Genomic DNA, 18,640 nt, shown 5'->3' with positions numbered 1-18,640 from the left:
AGTTCGAGACCAGCCTGGCCAACATAGTGAAACCCTGTCTCTACTAAAAACTACACAAAAAATTAGCTGGGCATGGTGCCATGTGCCTGTAGTCCCATCTACTTGTGAGGCTGAGGCAGGAGAATTGCTTGAATCTGGGAGGCAGAGCCTGCAGTGAGCTGAGATTGCACCACTGCAGTCCAGCCTGGGTGACAGAGTGAGGCTTTGTCTCAAAAAAAAAAAAAAAAAAAAGAAAAAAGCCATGACACTAAATGAGGAGTGAGGTTAGGGAGAGACTTCCATCTCTTTTTTTTTTTTTGTCATCACAATTAACACAAATATTTTTGTTTTAATTTTTTTTTTTTTTTTTTTTTGAGACAGAGTCTCGCTCTGTGGCCCAGGCTGGGGTGCAGTGGCGCGATCTCGGCTCACTGCAAGCTCTGTCTCCTGGGTTCTCGCCACTCTCCTGCCTCAGCCTCCCAAATAGCTGGGATTACAGGCGCCCACTACCACGCCCGGCTAATTTTGTTTTTGTATTTTTAGTAGAGATGGGGTTTCACCGTGTTAGCCAGGATGGTCTCAATCTCCTGACCTCGTAATCTGCCCACCTCAGCCTCCCAAAGTGCTGGGATTACAAGCGTGAGCCACCACGCCCGGCCTATATCACTGTTTAAATACCTCTCGTTCTTCCCCATATCTCGTTTATGCTGCTACTGCATCCTAAAAAGTGTAACAGAAACTAGTACGAAGAGTTAACAATGTTCTAACATAACCTCTAGCTGTAATCTTAAAAGTACTATTGATTTTATAATAATAGTTCTCATTTACTGAGTACCTATTATGTGCAAGCACTAAGCATTTAAAAAAACATCTCAGCATACATAGTTAAGTAACTTGCCCAAGATCCTATATGGTCAGGACTTAAATGTCAATTTCCATAAGAAGCCCCACAGTTCGAAAAGGGTAAAAGTTGACCCTCAAATCTAAGAAACAGGCCAGGTGCAGTGACTCATGCCTGTAATCTCAGCACTTTGGGAGGCTGAGGCAGATGGATTGCTTGAGGTCCGGAGTTCGAGACCAGCCTGCTCAACATGGTGAAACCCCGTCTCTACTAAAAATACAAAAATTAGCCGGGTGTGGTGACTTGCGCCTGTAATTCCAGCTAGTTGGGAGGCTGAGGCAGGAGAGTCGCTTGAATCCAGGAGGCAGAGGCTGCAGTGAGCTGAGATTGCCCCCACTGAACTCCAGCCTGGGTGACAGAGCCAGACTCTATTTTAAAAAAAAAACAACAAAAAAAAAAGCTGAGAAAGAGAAAAACAGCTTATTACATCCAGGAGCTGGCCTACTACTATCAGCTAAACCTTGGTATTTGACCTGGCACTTACAGAATATCAGCATGAAATAATGCCACTCTGTGACCACGGTGGAACAAGACCACTCTACAATTATGTCTAAACACAGGCAAAACATGAACACTGAACACTGTCTAAACCATGAAATACCAAATATTCCCCTTTTCCAGATAAGGAGTGACCTTTGCTTTTTAACTACTACAGCTTTAGACCTCACTCTAGTCTTTTCTTCTAGATAGGTTTTATGATATTTATTCATAGAATTATTCGCAGCTCCTGGTAGCATCCAAATCAGAGCAAAACCCTGCTTCTTTAAACCCTCCTTAAAATCACCAAATAAACGAGCCCAAATCCTATCTTCCTAACACCCTTTACTATGACATACCATGGTTATTACATATGTGTGTTCTCCCTGGCTACAGTGGGTAATAAACCCCACTTGCTCAACCATAGATAAGTTTGTTCCTGGAGATCGCTGACTGGAGGGCATTGACAAAGCCCACTTATGAAGTTAATTCTCTCCCTCTGCAGAAGAGCAGAAAAGTTATGTAAGTAAGTACAGCAAGTCTACAGAATATCTACATAGCTGTAAAACATTTAATAACCTCTAAGAAAATCACAGATTTTGACATTTTTCTTTCCTCATTAACCAGAATGAGCTGCTGAGATGTGACAGTGTTCAAAGATGTTTTATTGTATATGATGTGTAAGATCAGCGATTGTTAATAATTCACAAACGAGAGAAAAAAAGGCTACGTCAGCATATTAACAGCTTCACTGGCTTTGCAGGACTATTATAGGTCAAGAGTGAAGAAAACTGGCCAGGCATGGTGGCTCATGCCTGTAATCTCCGCACTTTATGGGGTGAGGTGGGAGGATTGCTTGAGCTCAGGAGTTCAAGACCAGCCTGGGCAATACGGCAAGACCCTGTCTCTATCTTGCTTTAAAAACATTTTTAAAAAAAAGAGTGAAGAAAACTAATATAGAAGAGTAGACAATCTATACTTTGCCAGACATCAAAAACCCAACTACTACTGGGTGGAACAGAGAGAGTAAGACAGCGGAAAAGAGGCAGGAAGTGTTAGGGAACATCCTTCTTCAATAATTCAATATCCAGCCAGGTGCAGTGGCTCACGCCTGTAATCCTAACACTTTGAGGGGCCAACACAGGCAGATCACTTGAGGCCAGGAGTTCGAGACCAACCTGGCCAACACAGCGAAACGCCATCACTACTAAAAAAATAAAATGATTCAATATCCATTTACTAACTATCCTTAATTGTCATCAGGACAACTAACAGTAATATGGGGAATCCAGTTTAATAGGGTTTAACTGTATTCAACATGAGGAAAAATACAACAACAAACCAGCTAAAAACAGAACAAGGGATAAAGTCCTTAACAGTGGCTGCTTTTTTGTGTCTTTGGTGCAGATGCCAGTAAATAATCTTGAGAAAAAATGTGAAATGTTTATTGCATATGTAATCAAAAGCAATGTTATCTTTTGGAAAAGTATGGTATCATCTGAATGTCCATTTATCAGATTTATTCCTTAGTTTAATCAGAGAAACTTCAAAGTAGAATCATTAGGCCCAAAGAAAGCAAGTCTGAAATTAATCCTTTCAAAGTGGTAGGTATAGGTTTTCAGCAGTGTAAGAAAATTACCAAATCTGACACTTCTGATTTCTACCCTCCATCCTCATCTTCTGAAAACAGATATGGACAGCTATTTTATACGTGAGTTTTAAATAAAGTACAATATTGAATTATATAGAATTATGAAATATGATAATTTTCATTAACTTTTTATAAACCGGTAAGCAAAAAATAAAACTCTAAGACCCCCAACTGACTCATGGACCCTCCCCTTGCCAAAGGCATTCCAAAGTTAACCTAAAAAACTAGTTCAGGCCATAATGAGAAGTGGGGGTTGGACATGACTCATATACCCTCTTCCCTTTGGAATTCAGGGACAACTGATCAGCATTAACATTAAAACAGAGATATTAAGATGTTTTGTAGCAATAAGACGCCAAATTCCCAGCCTGACTCTAGTACAGCATCACGTCAGATAGCAGGCCATGAAAGAAATTGAAGTATTTTGAGGCCGGGCACAGTGGCTCACGCCTGTAATCCCAGCACTTTGGGAGGCCGAGGCGGGTGAATCACGAGGTCAAGAGATCGAGACCATCCTGGCCAACATGGTGAAATCCCGTCTCTACTAAAAATACAAAAAAAATAGCTGGGCATGGTGGCCAGCGCCTGTAGTCCCAGCTACTCAGGAGGCTGAGGCAGGAGAACGGCGTGAACACAGGAGGCGGAGCTTGCAGTGAGCCGAGATCATGCCACTGCACTCCAGCCTGGGCAACAGAGCGAGACTCTGTCTCAAAAAATAAATAAATAAATAAAACAAATTGAAGTATTTTACCCTAAATTATATTTCTTTGACATATTCTGAAATGGCCCTGCAAAGCTTTCTCTTGTGGGGAAAATTTACGTTCTGTAGAGAATCCTTTCCCTTTCCAAGTCTTTTACCTGAACCAGGAGAAAATTAACTTAAGAGTCTGCCACCTTTTAAAGTCTCATAAGAAACATTTACAATGTATTCTCTCTGAAGCCTGCTACCTGGAGGCTTCATCTGTACAATAAAAACCTTGGTAGCTACAACCTATTATTTTAAACCAGACACTCCCTTCTATGGATTCCAGGACTTTAGATAAGCTCTTTTGACCAATTGCCAATCAGAAAATCTTTGAATCTGCCTACGACCTGGAAGCCTCCCCAACTTCTAGTTTTCCTGCCTTTCCAGATGGAACCAATGTACATCTTACATGTTTAACTGACGTCTTATGTCTCCCTAAAGTGTATAAAATCAAGCTATAGCCTGACCACCTTGGACAGATGTTCTTAGTATCTACTGGGGCTGTGTCATGGGCCACTGGTCACTCATATTTGGCTCAGAATAAATCTCTTCAAATATTTTACAGAGTTTGACTCTTTTCATTGACGAAGTTATTTTAAATACACACATGCACATATACACAGCTTAAAACTATGAACAGAAAAATATTTTACTTAGACAATTTCTGTCTTCAATGCCTGACCCTTTAGCCCTTTAAAACTATGAATAGAAAAAATTTTATTTAGACAATTTCTGTCTTCGATGCCTGATCCTTTAGCCCTAGAATATCCTGAGAAACTTGATCTCTCATTCATATAACATACTAGGCCTTTTCTGTTTAGTCCTATGTACTTGAGAAATCAAACGTCACCTAGAGAACCTCCACCATTGTGTTACCCAGGAGATTTCCGGCTTGTCTACCCACAGGAGCCATGCAGAACATGATATGTTCTAGTAAATCCAAAGAACCATTATTACAACCTTCTCTTTTCCTCCAAATATTCCAAGGAGCTCATTACCAGCATTACAACATAAAAACCTGCAGTATAAAGTAAAAAGTACAATATTTTGAGTCCATTCACTTAAATTCTATTTTTGTTTCTGCTATGAGTCTACTCTTTGAACTTCAGCTTCTCCTTATATAAAATGGCTATCACAGGTTTTCAGTCTTCCAAGAAAGTTCAACAATTAAAATATTTACCAACTTAGTCAACAGGGCAAGATCACCATCTCTACAAAAAATTAAAAAATCAGCCAAGCATGGTGGTATATGTCTGTAGACCCAGCTACTAGGGAGGCTGAGGTGGGTGGATCGATTGAGCCTGCGAGGCTGAAGCTTCAATGAGCTAAGATGGTGTCATTGCACTCCAGCCTGAACAACAGACCAAGGCCCTGTCTCAAAATGTGTATGTACATATATACGTATGTACACATATTTGTTAATCACATAACTAATGTTTTAACACATCTCACTGGAGAGGAAATAAATATTTCTCAAATATCTAAAATGCAGAGCTGTACAAATTAACTGGCCTCCAATTAATATTTGCTTTAATAAATAGACTTCACATATCCTCTCATTAAGTCAACAGAATTTGCTGTGCTATTCCTCTTTTGAAATAGTTTGGTTTCAGATAAATTAAGGCCTTTATGAAAATTCAGTGTCAAATTTGAGTATGGGTTGGGTGCAGTGGGTCATACCTGTAATCCCAGCACTTTGGGAGGCTGAGGCAGGCGGATCACTTCAGGTCAGGAGTTCGAGATCAGCCTGACCAACATGGTGAAACCCTGTCTCTCCTAAAAATACAAAAATATTAGCCAGGCATAGTGGTGCACGCCTGTAGTACCAGCTACTCGGGAGACTGAGGCAGGAGAATCGCTTGAACCCGGGAGGTGGAGGTTACAGTGAACCGAGATTGCGCCACTGCACTCCAGCGTGGGTGACAGAGCAAGACTCCATTACAAAAAAAAAAAAAAATTTTTTTTTTTTTTAGTATGCCATAAGAATAAAATTCAGAATAAACATAGTCACCATATAAAACACATTTACACGAGATTTCATTAAAATGAGATTTAATTTGGCATTTAACATTTCAAGGTACCAAATATTTCAATTAACACTACTACAGTTTGATGCCATTTCACTGAATCAAATAAATTGGTTTTCAGTTAAATTAGAAGATAAGTAGGCCAGGCGCAGTGGCTCACACCTGTAATCCCAACACTTTGGGAGGCCAAGGTGGGCGGATCACGAGGACAGGAGATCGAGACCGTACTGGCTAACACGGTGAAACCCCGTCTCTACTAAAAAATACAAAAAAAATTAGCCAGGTGTGATGGCAGGCGCCTGTAGTCCCAGCTACTTGGGAGGCTGAGGCAGGAAAATGGCGTGAACGTGGGAGGCGGGGCTTGCAGCGAGCTGAGATCTCGCCACTGCACTCCAGCCTGGGTGACAGAGCAAGACTCTGTCTCAAAAAAGAAAAAAAAAAAAAAAAGATAAGTCATGTTGCCAAGGGAATGGCAGTGCATGATATTACCAGCTCCTTGATAGTTAACCACAGAGTTAGGAAACCTTTGAAGAGACTGCCTATTCAACTCGTTTCTATTTGATCATATATATTTTGAAGCACTGAGAAAGAGGAAGAATTACATTCTCTTGGAACTAAGGTTTGTGTTGTCAAGGACAGCCAAGAGGCAGACTTCAAAAGTGCACTCTCTTTCAACCACTGGATTAAGACTAAAGTACAAAAATATTCAATCTCCTAAAGAAAAAATTTAAGATAGATAAGAACCATAACAATATAAACTCAGTTTTCTTTTTTTTTTTTTTTTGAGAGATGGAGTCTTGCTCTGTTGCCCAGGCTGGCGTGCAGTGGCGTGATCTTGGCCCACCGCAATCTCCACCTCTGGAGTTCAAGCAATTGTCCTGCGTCAGCGTCCCAAGTACCCGGGACTACAGGCGTGCACCACTATGCCCAGCTAATTTTTGTATTTTTAGTAGAGACGGGGTTTCACTAATATGTTGGCCAGGCTGGTCGCGAACTTCTGACTACAAGTGATCCGCCTGCCTCTGCCTCCCAAAGTGCTGGGATAACAGGCATGGGCCACTGCACCCGGCTTGAGCCACCATGCCCAGCCTTTTTTTTTTTTTTTGATGGAGTCTCACTCTTCTCACCCAGGCAGGAGTGCAATGGGTGAGATCTCAGCTCACTGCAACCTCCACCTCCTGGGTTCAAGCGATTCTCCTGCCTCACCCTCCCGAGTAGCTGGGATTACACACACCCGCCACCACATCCGGCTAAAGTTTTACTTCATTTTTAAAGGAAAATGAATCTTTAAGTAATCCGTTTCAGTCTGAACTAATTTAATTTGGCATATTACGGCATCAGTTGTTGAACTAAAATCAAACTAAAGACCTGTCAAGGCTGGGCACGGTGGCTCACACCTGTAATCCTAGCAGTTTGTGAGGCCAAGGCGAGTGGATCACTTGAGGCCAGGAGTTCGAGAACAGCCTGGCCAACATGGTGAAATGCTGTCTCTACTAAAAATACAAAAATTGGCTGGGTGTGGGGTGGCACATGCCTGTAATCCCAGTTACTGGGGAGGCTGAGGCAGGAGAATCGCTTGAACCTGGGAGGTGGAGGTTGCAGTGAGCTGAGATCGCGCCATTGCACTCCAGCCTGGGTGAAGAAGCGAGACTCTGCCTCAAAAAAAAAAAAAAGAGCTGTCAACAGCCCATTCTGATGTCCACATTAGAAATCAAAATATGTGCCGGGCGCGGTGGCTCACGCCTGTAATCCCAGCACTTTGGGAGGCCGAGGCGGGTGGATCACGAGGTCAGGAGATCGAGACCATCCTGGCTAACACAGTGAAACCCCGTCTCTACTAAAAATACAAAAAATTAGCTGGGCATGGTGGCGGGCGCCTGTAGTCCCAGCTACTCGGGAAGCTGAGGCAGGAGAATGGCGTGAACCCGGGAGGCGGAGCTAGCAGTGAGCCGAGATCGCGCCACTGCACTCTAGCCTGGGCGACAAAGCGAGGCTCTGTCTCAAAAAAAAAAAAAAAGAAAAGAGAAAAGAAATCAAAATATAAAGAAAAAGTTGTGAACAGAAACATTATCAGTAGGAAGAGTATGAAATATGCATTACGCAGGAGAATGGCGTAAACTTAAACATACCACTTTACAATAAAACCTAATTTATTTTTTTTTTATTGTTCAAAATATTGTTGAAATTTCTCCAGCCTGGCTAACATAACAAGATCCTATCTCTAGCAAAAAAAAAAAAAAGAGGATCACTTAAGCCTAGGAATGAGCCTTGAGGCTGCAGTGAGCTATGATCACATTCCACTCCAGCTTGGGTAAGAGAGTGAAACACTGTCTCTAAAATAAATTAAATAATTATTTTTATATATTTAATATATCCAACTGAAAAATAAAAATGTTTAGGAGGATTTAAGTATAATAGATATATTCATATATGTGATACTGAAAGATTTAAGTCACCAGCCTGAGACCTGAGGTCTGAATTCTATTTCTTCCACTTATTCCTCACATGGAACTGCTATTTCTTCAAATCTAAGAGCTCAGGGTCTTTTATTTTTCATGCCTAGGTTTTCCTTAATTTCTCCTTTTATCCTACCTCCCAACTCCCATCAACCAACAGTGTTAACTAAAATTTCCTTGTGGTCGGTCACCGCGGCTCACACCTGTAATCCCAGCACTTTGGGAGGCCAAGGAGGGCGGTTCACTTGAGGTCAGGAGCTCGAAACCAGCCTGGCCAACATGGTGGAACCCCATCTCTACTAAAAACACAAAAATTAGCTGGGCGTGGTGGCATACACCTGTAATCCCAGCTGCTCAGGAGGCTGAGGCAGGAGAATCGCTTGAATCCGGGAGGCAGAGGTTGCAGTGAGCCAAGATCATACCATTGCACTCCAGCCTGGGCAACTGAGCGAGACTCCGTCTCAAAAATAAACAAATAAAAAAAATTTCCTTGCATGTTCTGACTTTCTCTTCCTAAATAAAACAATTAAAACAGTTTTTTTTTTTTTGGTTTTTTTTTTTTTTTTTTTTGAGACAGTTTTACTCCTGTCACCCAGTTCGGAGTGCAGTTGCACGATCTCAGCTCATTGCAGCCTGAACAACCTGAGCTCAAGTGATCCTCCTACCTCAGCCCCCCAAGTAGCTGGGACTACAGGCATTTGCCACTGCGCCTAGCTAATCTTTGTATTTTTCACAAAGACAGGGTTTCACTATGTTGCCCAGGCTGGTCTCAAACTCCTGGGCTCAAGCAATCCACCCACCTCAGCCTCCCAAAGTGCTGGAATTACAGGCATGAGCCACCGTGCCCAGCCAAAAATGACCTACTTTTTTTTTTCAAGACGGAGTCTTGCTCTGCCGCCCAGGCTGGAGTGTAGTGGCACGATCTCGGCTCACTGCAACCTCCACCTTCCAGGTTCAAGCACTTCTCTTGCCTCAGCCTCCTGAGTAGCTGGGACTACAGGCATGTGTCACCATGCCCAGCTAATTTTTGTATTTTTAGTAGAGATGGGATTTCACCATGTTGGCCAGGATGGTCTCAAACTCTTGACCTCATGATCCACCCGCCCCGGCCTCCCAAAGTGTTGGGATTACACGCGTGAGCCACCATGACTGGCCCAAAAAATGATCTACGCTTAAACATGTTCCTCTATTCTAAAACTTTGCAACCGTTTTAATTCTCCCCAAGGGATCCTGGATGTTCTTAAGAGGTGATAAAGAATGGAGCTTGCTGGGTGGGCACAGTGGCTGACACCTGTAATCCAAGCACTTGGAAGGTCGAGGCAGGCGAATCACCTGAGGTCAGGAGTTCGTGACCAGTCTGGCCAACATGGTGAAACACCATCTCTACTAAAAATACAAAAAATTAGCCAGCCGTGATAGGGCGCACCTGTGGTTCCAGCTACTCGGGAGACTGAGGCAAGAGAATCGCCTGCGTCTGGGAGGCAGAGGTTGCAGTAAGCTGAGATCACGCCACTGCACTCCAGTCTGGGTGACACAGGGAGACTCCATCTCAAAAAAAAAAAAAAAAAAGAATGGAGCAGTTAACAAAAAATTTCCTTCTACAAACACATAGTATTCTTAAATGTTAACACCCTCCTTGACCTCTCTTAACCGTCACTCTTTCCTTACTGTCCAAAACAATGAATAACTGCCTCTTTCCTTATATCCCACTTCCCACTCCCAGGCCCCACAAAGGAAACAGGTTTCAACAAGATTGAAATTCTAGAACAGTTTTTGGAGTTGGCAGTAGAGACAGACACTATGAATGAAGTGCAGATTGTTTCTGTTTTCACTAATGGACAATGCAAGTGAGTATCTAATTGAGGTGTGGTAGAAAAGTGGGTGTTTTTGGCAGAGGGAGAAGCAAGATCTCAGCATACTGGAAGTAAGGATAAAAGGGGAGAATTGTAAAAGTTAGACTTCTCCTAATTTCACTTATTTTCCATAAAAGAAATTTCATTATTAGCACAGGTTTGGAATAACCTCCTTTATCTTTTGGGCCTCATTTTCTTCATCTCTAAAATGCTGATACCAATAATACCTTCATCTCACAAAGTTATTGTGAGGATTAAATAACACTTTTCATGGTCTGGGATGGTTGCTATTTTTTTTAAAAAGAAAAAAGATAACACATGCAAAGCTAATAGCACAATGCCTGGCACATATAATAAAAAATGTTAGCTTAAGGCCAGGCGCGGTGGCTCATGCCTGTATTACCAGCACTTTGGGAGGCCGAGGCGACCCGATCACGAGGTCAGGAGATGGAGACCATCCTGGCCAACATGGTGAAATCCCTACTCTACTAAAAATACAAAAATTAGCCAGGCGTGGTGGTGCGTGCCTGTAATCCCAGCTACTCGGGAGGCTGAGGCAGGAGAATCGCTGGAACCAGGGAGTCGGAGGTTGCAGTGAGCCGAGACTGCACCATTGCACTCCAGCTTGGGCGACAGGGCGAGATTCCGTCTCAAAAAAAAAAAAAAGTTAGCTTAAAAGAAACCCGAAAGATGTAGTATCCTTGCTTTCATTCAGAAACATACATAGTTGTTTTAGGTTTTACTGTAAAGTGGTATGTTTAAGTTTACGCAATCCATTCATCAAACATTTCAACTTGGAAATTAAAGGCTACTTTGGAATACTGTTTTAATTAAAATCAAAGCAACAGGGGGAAAAGTTTTATGCTAAATATAACTTCATTGAAAAAGTATTCAGGAATCGTTGTACTGATAAAATGATTATCTTGATTAAAATGATGCAAATTCAACTGCAGTCATATGCAGCTATTTCTTTCAAAATTGTCACCATTTGTTCTTTTTTTCTGACACTACAATACTCTGCTTTCATTAAAAGCCAGTAAGGCGGCACTGCTTCTTCAATATCAAAACCTTTTGGAAACCTTGGTTCAGAGGAAGCTGCACACTCTTCACAGTGCTAGAAAGGATCAGTGTGGTCACTCTAGGACAAATGTCACTGTCATCAACACGTCTGGGTGTCTCATAGTGACCTGGGTCATGCAGAAGTGTGGGGGAAGGCTGGTGTCTGAAACAAAGTCGACAGCTACAGTGCCCTGAAAGGGGAGAGGTTTTAAGAATACTAGAAGATGAGGCTCCGACCTACGGGAAAGCAGTCTCCCGGGGCATATCAATTCCGGGGGTGCACCGTCCCCTCCCGCAGAAAAGGGACGCAGGTGTTGCCCTCCCCCGGCGACCCCACCGCCTTCTTCCCGGCGCCGCCGCCCCCTCCCCCAGCCCCCTAGTTACCTTTCTCATCCTCATCGATGCGCAGGGCAATGGAGATGTACTCGAAGGCCTGTTTGTGGAAGACTCGGACGCGCTCGGCCTCGCCGCCCGGCACCGGCGCCGGGGCCGAGGCCGAGGCAGGTGCTGGCGCGGCCCCGGAGCTCCTCTTGGCTGCCATGAGGGCGCGGGAGAAGCGCTGGCAGAGCCACACGAAGAGGAGCCCCAGGTGGAAGGCGACCAAACGCAGCAGCGCGAAGCCTACAAACAGCGGGTAGGAGAAATAGTACAGGTTCCGCTTATGCGGCGACTCGGGCGGAGGGGCCGGCCCGGCGGCGGGAGGGGCGGGGGCCAGGCAAGGGGGCGGAGGCCTGGGAGGCACCGGGTTGCTGGCGCCGCCGGAGCCTTTCTTCTTCCCTCGTCCACCCGGAGAATTCATTCACAGCTCTCACTGCCGCCGCCGCCATAACCCGCCTCCCGCAGACCGACGGGAACCAAGCGACGGCGGCAGCCACTGCTACGGCGGGGGCCACAGACCCCCGTGTGCCCGCCGGTCTCAGGAGCTCCGCACTGCCGCACGCTGCCCGCCGGCCCCGCCCCTTTCTCCTTCCTCGGCCAGGAGCACAACCCCTTCTCCTCCTGCAGTCGGTGGCTCGGGCCCCTCCCTTCCTGTCGCTGTCCTCTCCGCCGCCTGGTGGCTCCCAGCGGCGGCCGCGCACGCGCACGTCTTCCCGTGTTTTTCTCCGGCGCGCGCGCGCACGGCGCGTCTTTGTTGACCGGGGCCCCTGTACGCGTGTGCGGCCCCCGCCTCTCGGCTTTCCCACTCAACTACAGTTCCCAATGTGCAGTTCGGCTCACGTCGGCAGCCCTGGAGAGCTCCTGCCAGGAAGCCTTCGTAATCGATCCACGGAAGGGGGAATTGCGGCTTGGGGTCGCTCTGCTGGTTCGCTAGGCTCCTCTCTCAGTGTCGTCGTTTTCTTAGATTTCTTTCATCTTTTTCTGCCAGGCGACCTAAGTCTTCTCCGAAGGATAATTGGCCCATCTCAGAAGCAATGGATATCAATCTGGGAATTAAATTAGCCGGGCGTGGGGGCGCGCGCCTGTAGTCCCAGCTGGTTGGAAGGCTAAGGCCGGAGAATCGCTTGAACTCGGGAGGCAGAGGCTGCAAGTGAGCTGAGATCGCGCCACTGCACTCCAGCCTGGGCGACAGAGCGAGACTCCGTCTCCAGAAAAAATAAAATAAAAATTTAAAATCTGGGAATTATTTGAGAGGAAAGCAATTGTGAAGATAAGAAACTTCAGGTCACTGCAAACAACAGCAACAAAAATGTTAGCTCAGTGTGATGAGATCAACTAACCCAGGGGTTTAACTAAATTAGTGCATATTTAGATGTCTAATATGAAAGATAATTTATTTGAATAAGGGAAATCTTAGGTTTTGCATAGTTACCATCCCATAGTTTACTGAAGAATCTACACTTTTTTTTTAATCTACTCAGCATCCCTTCCTTTGGGAAACTACCTGCTTGTCTCTGCTCCCTGTATTCTAATGAGCTGCAAGCACAGAACCCAGACCGCAAAGGCGGAAGCAAACACTAGGTCAGTCAGATTCTCCTGGGACCTGGAATCTTGGCTGGAGACCCACCGAATAGAAAGTAACTGGAAACGAGTGCTCTTAAGAGCGGGTTTATCAATGCATCACATTGAGCTCCCCCAGAGCTGCTGGGTTCCTGACTGGTCACTTGGTTATGTAATCTATCCAATACACTAATCAGTCTGTTTCTCTGTTTCTCTCTTCCTCTCTCCTTTCCCCCTTCCTTCCTTTCGTCTTTTCCTCTCTCTCCCTCTCTCTCTATCTCCACGTCTTTTTTCTCTTCTCTTTCTCTTTTTACTTGAGTTAGCCATAATTATTTCTTGTTTCCTAAAACTAAGGAAGCCAAACTGATAAAAAGACTCCGTTATTTACAATGTGAGGTTTCCAAATGCCCCATGAGAGCTTCCAGCTTCCAAGAATCTCCACATTCTGCCACAGCTTTATTTTTTTATTTTTTGGACAGGGTTTCACTCCATTGCCCAGGCTGGAGTGCAGTGGCGCAAACAACATGACTCACTGCAACCTCCACCTCCCTGGCTCAGGTGATCCTTCCACCTCAGCCTCCCGAGTAGCTGGGATCACAGGCACACGCCACTGGGCCCGACTAATTTTTGTATTCTTTATAGAGCCAGGGTTTCACCATGTTGCCCAGGCTGGTCTCCAACTCCTGGGCTCAAGCAATCCGCCTGCCTCAGCCTTCCAAAGTGTTGGGATTACAGGCATGAGCCACCCCATCGCGCCCCCAGCTAATTTTTTTACTTTTTTGTTGAGACAGGGTCTTGCTATGTTTCCCAGGTTGGTCTTGAATTCCTGGGCTCAAGCAACCTGCCCGCCTCGGCCTCCCAAAGTGCTGGGATTACAGGCATGAGCCACAGCACCAGCCAATTTTACTTAATTATTCCCCGCCAGTACTGCCCTACAAATGTCACAGGCTATTGCAAAAATGACCTACTCCCTGTTTCCCTCTTATTGCTCCCCCTTCTCTGTGCTTATGCTAGACCCTCATTCTGAAATGCCCTCTTTCGGCCGGGTGTGGTGGCTCACGCCTGTAATCCCAGAACTTTGGGAGCCGAGGCGAGCAGATCACCGGAGGTCAGGAGTTCAAGAGCAGCCTGGCTAACATGGCAAAACTCCCTCTATACTAAAAATACAAAAGTTAGACAGGTGCATTCCTGTGGTGGTGGTGCATTCCTGTAATCTCAACTAGTGCGAGGCTGAGGCAGGAGAATCACTTGAACCTGGGAGGCTGAGGCCGCGGTGAGCCAAGATCATGCCAATGCACTGCAGCCTGGGCGACAGAGCGAGACTCTGTCTCAAAAGCAAACAACAAAAAATTTTTTTTAATGAAATGCCCTCTTTTAAATCTGATTCAGGGCCTGGCACGGTGGCTCACACCTGTAATCCCAACACTTTGGGAGGCCAAGGCAGGCGGATCACCTGAGGTCGGGAGTTCGAGACCAGCCTGACCAACATGGAGAAACCCTTTCTCTATTAAAAATACAAAACTAGCCGGGCATGGTGGCGCATGCCTGTAATCCCAGCTACTCGGGAGGCTGAGGCAGGAGAATCACTTGAACCCAGGAAGTGGAGGTTGCAGTGAGCCAAGATAGTGCCATTGCACTCCAGCCTGGGCAACAAGAGCGAAACTCCATCTCAAAAAAAAAAATTACATTTATACATATATCATATAAACAAGAAGTGTGTTACTTAAATGCACAATTTAAAGAAAAATAATAAGCAGCATTCCATTTAAGAAAAATGAATGTAACCAACTCCTCGAAGCACTCTGTGAGCTCCTCCCTAATCTCAATGTCTTGTCTCTTCCTCTAGAGGAAGCCACTATCCTGAATTTTATATTAATCATTCTAGTGTCTCATTTTTAGTTTGCAGTGTATTTATGTATTTCTAAACAATGTCTTGTATGATTTTGCCTCACTTTGACTTTATGGAAATGTAATCATATTTCAAGTATCCCTTGTTTGCTTTCCCTCCTCAAAATTTTTAAAATTTCATTTATTTTATTTTAAGAAAATAGAGATGGAGTCTCACTGTTGCCCAGGTTGATCTCGAACCCCTGGGCTCAAGTAATCCTCCTGTCTTGGTCTCCCAAAGTGCTGGGATTACAGGCATAAACCGCTATGCCTGGCTACCTACTTAATAATTAAGTGTTGAAATTCCTCCCTGTTGATTTCTATAACTGTGGTACATTTTCACTGCTATATAGTATTCCATTATATGAATTTACCACAACCTATTTTACTGTTCAACTATTGATGGATATTTAGTTTGATGCCAGTTTTTTTTCTTAAATAACTATCTTCCCTGTTATCCCTCCAGTCTTTACCACTAAAGAAAGTAACTTACTTTCTAACTTAGCCAAGATAGGGCCCAATAGTAGAATGGTTAAATGGTCCTGGAGTCAGACTGGTTGCATTTAGATCTGTGTTCCATCACTTTCGGTGATCTTGGATGAGTTACTCAGCTTCCACATCTACAGTATAACACTAGAGTAGTAAGCAGTGCCTGGAATCAAGTTGATACTTGATTATTTTTTTATTTTTTGTTTTTTTTAATTTTTTTAAATTATCTATTTTTTGTTTTAAAAGTTCTTTTGTAGAGACAAGGTCTCTCTCACCGTGTTGCCCAAGCCAGTTTTGAACTCCAGCCCTCAAGCAATCCTCCCACTTCAGCCTTCCAAAGTGCTAGGATTACAGGCATGAGCCACCATGTTCAGTTTATTTCTATTTTTATTTTATTTTTTACTCACCATGATACTAACAAGGAGATTTGTTGGTTTTTTGTTTTTGTTTTTGTTTTTGAGACAAGGTCTCACTCTGTCACCCAAGCTGGAGTACAGTGGCGCCATCAGAGCTCACTGCAGCCTTGACCTCCCTGGCTCAAACCACCCTCTTGCCTCAGCCTCCTGAGTAACTGGGACTACAGGCATGCACCACCATGCTGGGGTAGTTTTTTTTAAAATTTATTTATTTTTTAAGATGGAGTCTCGCTCTGTCGCCAGACTGGAGTGCAGTGGTGCGATCTCGGCTCACTGCAACCTCCGACTCCCTGGTTCAAGCGATTCTCCTGCCTCAGCCTCCCGAGTAGCTGGGATTACAGGGATGTGCCACCATGCCCAGCTAATTTTGTATTTTTAATAGAGATGGGGTTTCTCCATGTTGTCCAGGAGGGTCTTGATCTCCTGACCTCGTGATCCGCCCGCCTCAGCCTACCAAAGTTCTGGGATTACAGGTGTGAGCCACTGCATCTGTCTGAATTTTTTGTTTTTTAGTTGAGATGAGGTCTCACTATGTTGCCCCAGATGGTCTTGAATTCCTGAGCTCAAGTGATCCACTCACCTTGACCTCCCAAAATGCTGGGATTACAGGCATGAGCCACTATGCTTGGCCATGAGGAAGATAGTTTTTGAATAAAGAATGGTTCTCCGACATTTCCTCTGCACTTTCACTATACTCTAGCTAATATAGACTGTTGGTCTGTACCTACTTTGCTCTTTTCCAGGACTACAATTACTCTCCTGTCATTTTTCATTCACTTAGAATGGCCTCGCCTCCTACTTCCACTGTCAAAGTCCTTCAAGACTTACCTCTAATGTTATATTTTTTTTTTTTTTTTTTTTTTTGAGACTGAGTCTCACTCTGTCACCCAGGCTGGAGTGCCATGGCACGATCTCAGCTCAATGCAACCTCTGCTTCCCATGTTCAAGTGGTTCTCCTGCCTCAGCCTCCTGAGTAGCTGCGACTACAGACGCGTGCCACCACGCCCGGCTAATTTCTTGTATTTTTAGTAGAGACGGGTTCATCGTGTTAGCCAGGATGGTCTCGAACTCCTGACCTTGTGATCCACCTTCCTTGGCCTCCCAAAGTGCTGGGATTACAGGTGTGAGCCACCGCGTCCAGCTCTGTTATATTCTTGATAAATTATTCCATTATCACCTCCAGCAGAAATGATCTTGTTTTTCAGTTGTTATGACAATATGGTTGTGTTACTCTGTGGCTCTTATACTATATTGCCCTGCAGGATGATTATTTAAACACTTCATCACCTCTTGATATAGATTGTAAACTTACTGAAGGCAGTGGTCACACTTTATACATTTTGCCTCACTTTTTGCATCCAGCCTGACACCTTGCTTATGGTACTCATTTAATAAATATGAGAAATTTGAAAAATGATTCAAACATAATGATTGTGTTAGATTTCTGATGCTATGTAATATACCACTCCAAAACTCACTGGCTTAAGATAGCAGACATTTATTTACACACAACTTTGTGACTCAGCAATTTGGGGTAAGTTCAGCTGGATGGTTCTTCTGATGGCCTTGCCTGTGGATCATTCCTGTGGATGTAGTCATCTGATGGCTTGACCGAATGGCTGTATGGCCTAGCTAGCCTCATTCATATGTTCAGAGGTTGATTGTGGCTATTAGCTGGGACATATGTCTCTAGCAGGATAGCCCTGACTTCTTTACATTGCATCTGGTTTCCAAGAGAGTGTGAGTGGAAGGTGTAAGTTCTCTCGAAACCTAAAATCCAAAGTTGCACAGTGTCATTTGTACTACATTCCATTGTCAAAGCAAGTCAGAAGGCCAACTCTAGTGCAATATATGGGAAAATAAGCTCCACATCTTGATAGAGAAGTAGCAAAGTCACATTGCAAAGGGGCATATATATGAGGATAGGAGGAATTGTTGTGGCCATCTTTGCAAGTAATTTAGCACAATGATTATGTGTAGAATTTCCTTCTACCTCATGTTCAGACGGCAGCTTAAGCATCTCATTTAAGACAGCATTTTCCAACCATTTTGCTGAATTATAAAAACTTAATTAACATGCTTAAGGCTGGATGCTGTGGCTAACGCCTGTAATCCCAGCACTTTGGGAGGCCGAGACAGGTGGATCACTTGAGGTCAGGAGTTCAAGACCAGCCTGGCCAACATGGTGAAACCCCACCTCTACCAAAAATACGAAAAATTAGCTGGGTGTGGTTGTGGTACGTGTCTGTGGTCCCAGCTACTTGGGAGGGTGAGACAGGAGAATCACTTGAACCTGGGAGGCAGAGGTTGGAGTGAGCCAAGATCACACCACTGAACTCCAGCTTGGGTGACAGAGTGAGACACTGTCTCAAAAAAACAAAAAACATGCTTAAGTTTAAGGAGAGAACAGCAGTGACAGTGATGATGATGACTACTACTACTTGCTAATATTTATCGAACCCATATTCTGAACTAAGCAGATGAACTTTTAGTGCCTTTTTAAAATATTGCTACTTCAGTTAAGCATTATCATCTCTTTTGTTTTCCCCCAAGACAGAGTCTCACTCTGTCACCCAGACTAGAGTGTAGAGTGCAATGGCAAGATCATGGCTCACTGCACCCTCAACCTCTCGGGCTCAAGCGATCCTTCCACCTCAGCCTCCTGAGTAGCCAGGAACACAGGTGCACACCACCATGTTTGGCTAATTTTTGTATTTTGTTTAGAGATGAGGTCTTAACCGTGTTGCCCAGGCTGATCTCAA

General features: G+C 44.3%; 1 protein-coding gene across 5 annotated transcripts in view, besides 5 other annotated features; it reads right to left on the bottom strand.

Moving 5' to 3' along the window:
* The window catches only part of SPAST (spastin), a 94,082-nt gene extending 81,859 nt beyond the window's left edge, over positions 1 to 12,223 (bottom strand). For all 5 annotated transcript variants that reach the window (NM_014946.4, NM_199436.2, NM_001377959.1 and 2 more), the window contains exon 1: positions 11,533 to 12,223. In NM_014946.4, coding sequence (NP_055761.2) covers positions 11,533 to 11,947 — 415 coding nt within the window. In that variant the 5' untranslated portion in view covers positions 11,948 to 12,223. The remainder of the gene's footprint in view (positions 1 to 11,532) is intronic.
* Positions 11,360 to 11,489: a silencer, noted in NCBI's record as "silent region_11339". NCBI's record gives its function as "represses an Ori minimal core promoter by ATAC-STARR-seq in GM12878 lymphoblastoid cells {active_cell/tissue: GM12878}" and the evidence as "EXISTENCE:reporter gene assay evidence [ECO:0000049][PMID:35858748]".
* Positions 11,511 to 12,311: an enhancer, noted in NCBI's record as "H3K27ac hESC enhancer chr2:32288537-32289337 (GRCh37/hg19 assembly coordinates)". NCBI's record gives its function as "activates a minimal SCP1, AML or CMV promoter by ChIP-STARR-seq in naive H9 embryonic stem cells {active_cell/tissue: H9 hESC(naive)}" and the evidence as "EXISTENCE:reporter gene assay evidence [ECO:0000049][PMID:30033119]".
* Positions 11,520 to 11,939: a silencer, noted in NCBI's record as "silent region_11338". NCBI's record gives its function as "represses an Ori minimal core promoter by ATAC-STARR-seq in GM12878 lymphoblastoid cells {active_cell/tissue: GM12878}" and the evidence as "EXISTENCE:reporter gene assay evidence [ECO:0000049][PMID:35858748]".
* Positions 12,000 to 12,139: a silencer, noted in NCBI's record as "silent region_11337". NCBI's record gives its function as "represses an Ori minimal core promoter by ATAC-STARR-seq in GM12878 lymphoblastoid cells {active_cell/tissue: GM12878}" and the evidence as "EXISTENCE:reporter gene assay evidence [ECO:0000049][PMID:35858748]".
* Positions 12,360 to 12,429: an enhancer, noted in NCBI's record as "active region_15557". NCBI's record gives its function as "activates an Ori minimal core promoter by ATAC-STARR-seq in GM12878 lymphoblastoid cells {active_cell/tissue: GM12878}" and the evidence as "EXISTENCE:reporter gene assay evidence [ECO:0000049][PMID:35858748]".

The sequence above is a fragment of the Homo sapiens genome, chromosome 2, assembly GCF_000001405.40.
Source record: "Homo sapiens chromosome 2, GRCh38.p14 Primary Assembly".
Lineage (NCBI taxonomy): Eukaryota > Metazoa > Chordata > Mammalia > Primates > Hominidae > Homo > Homo sapiens.
Note: the sequence above shows the minus strand (reverse complement) of the source record. Positions and strands in the feature narration are given on the sequence as shown.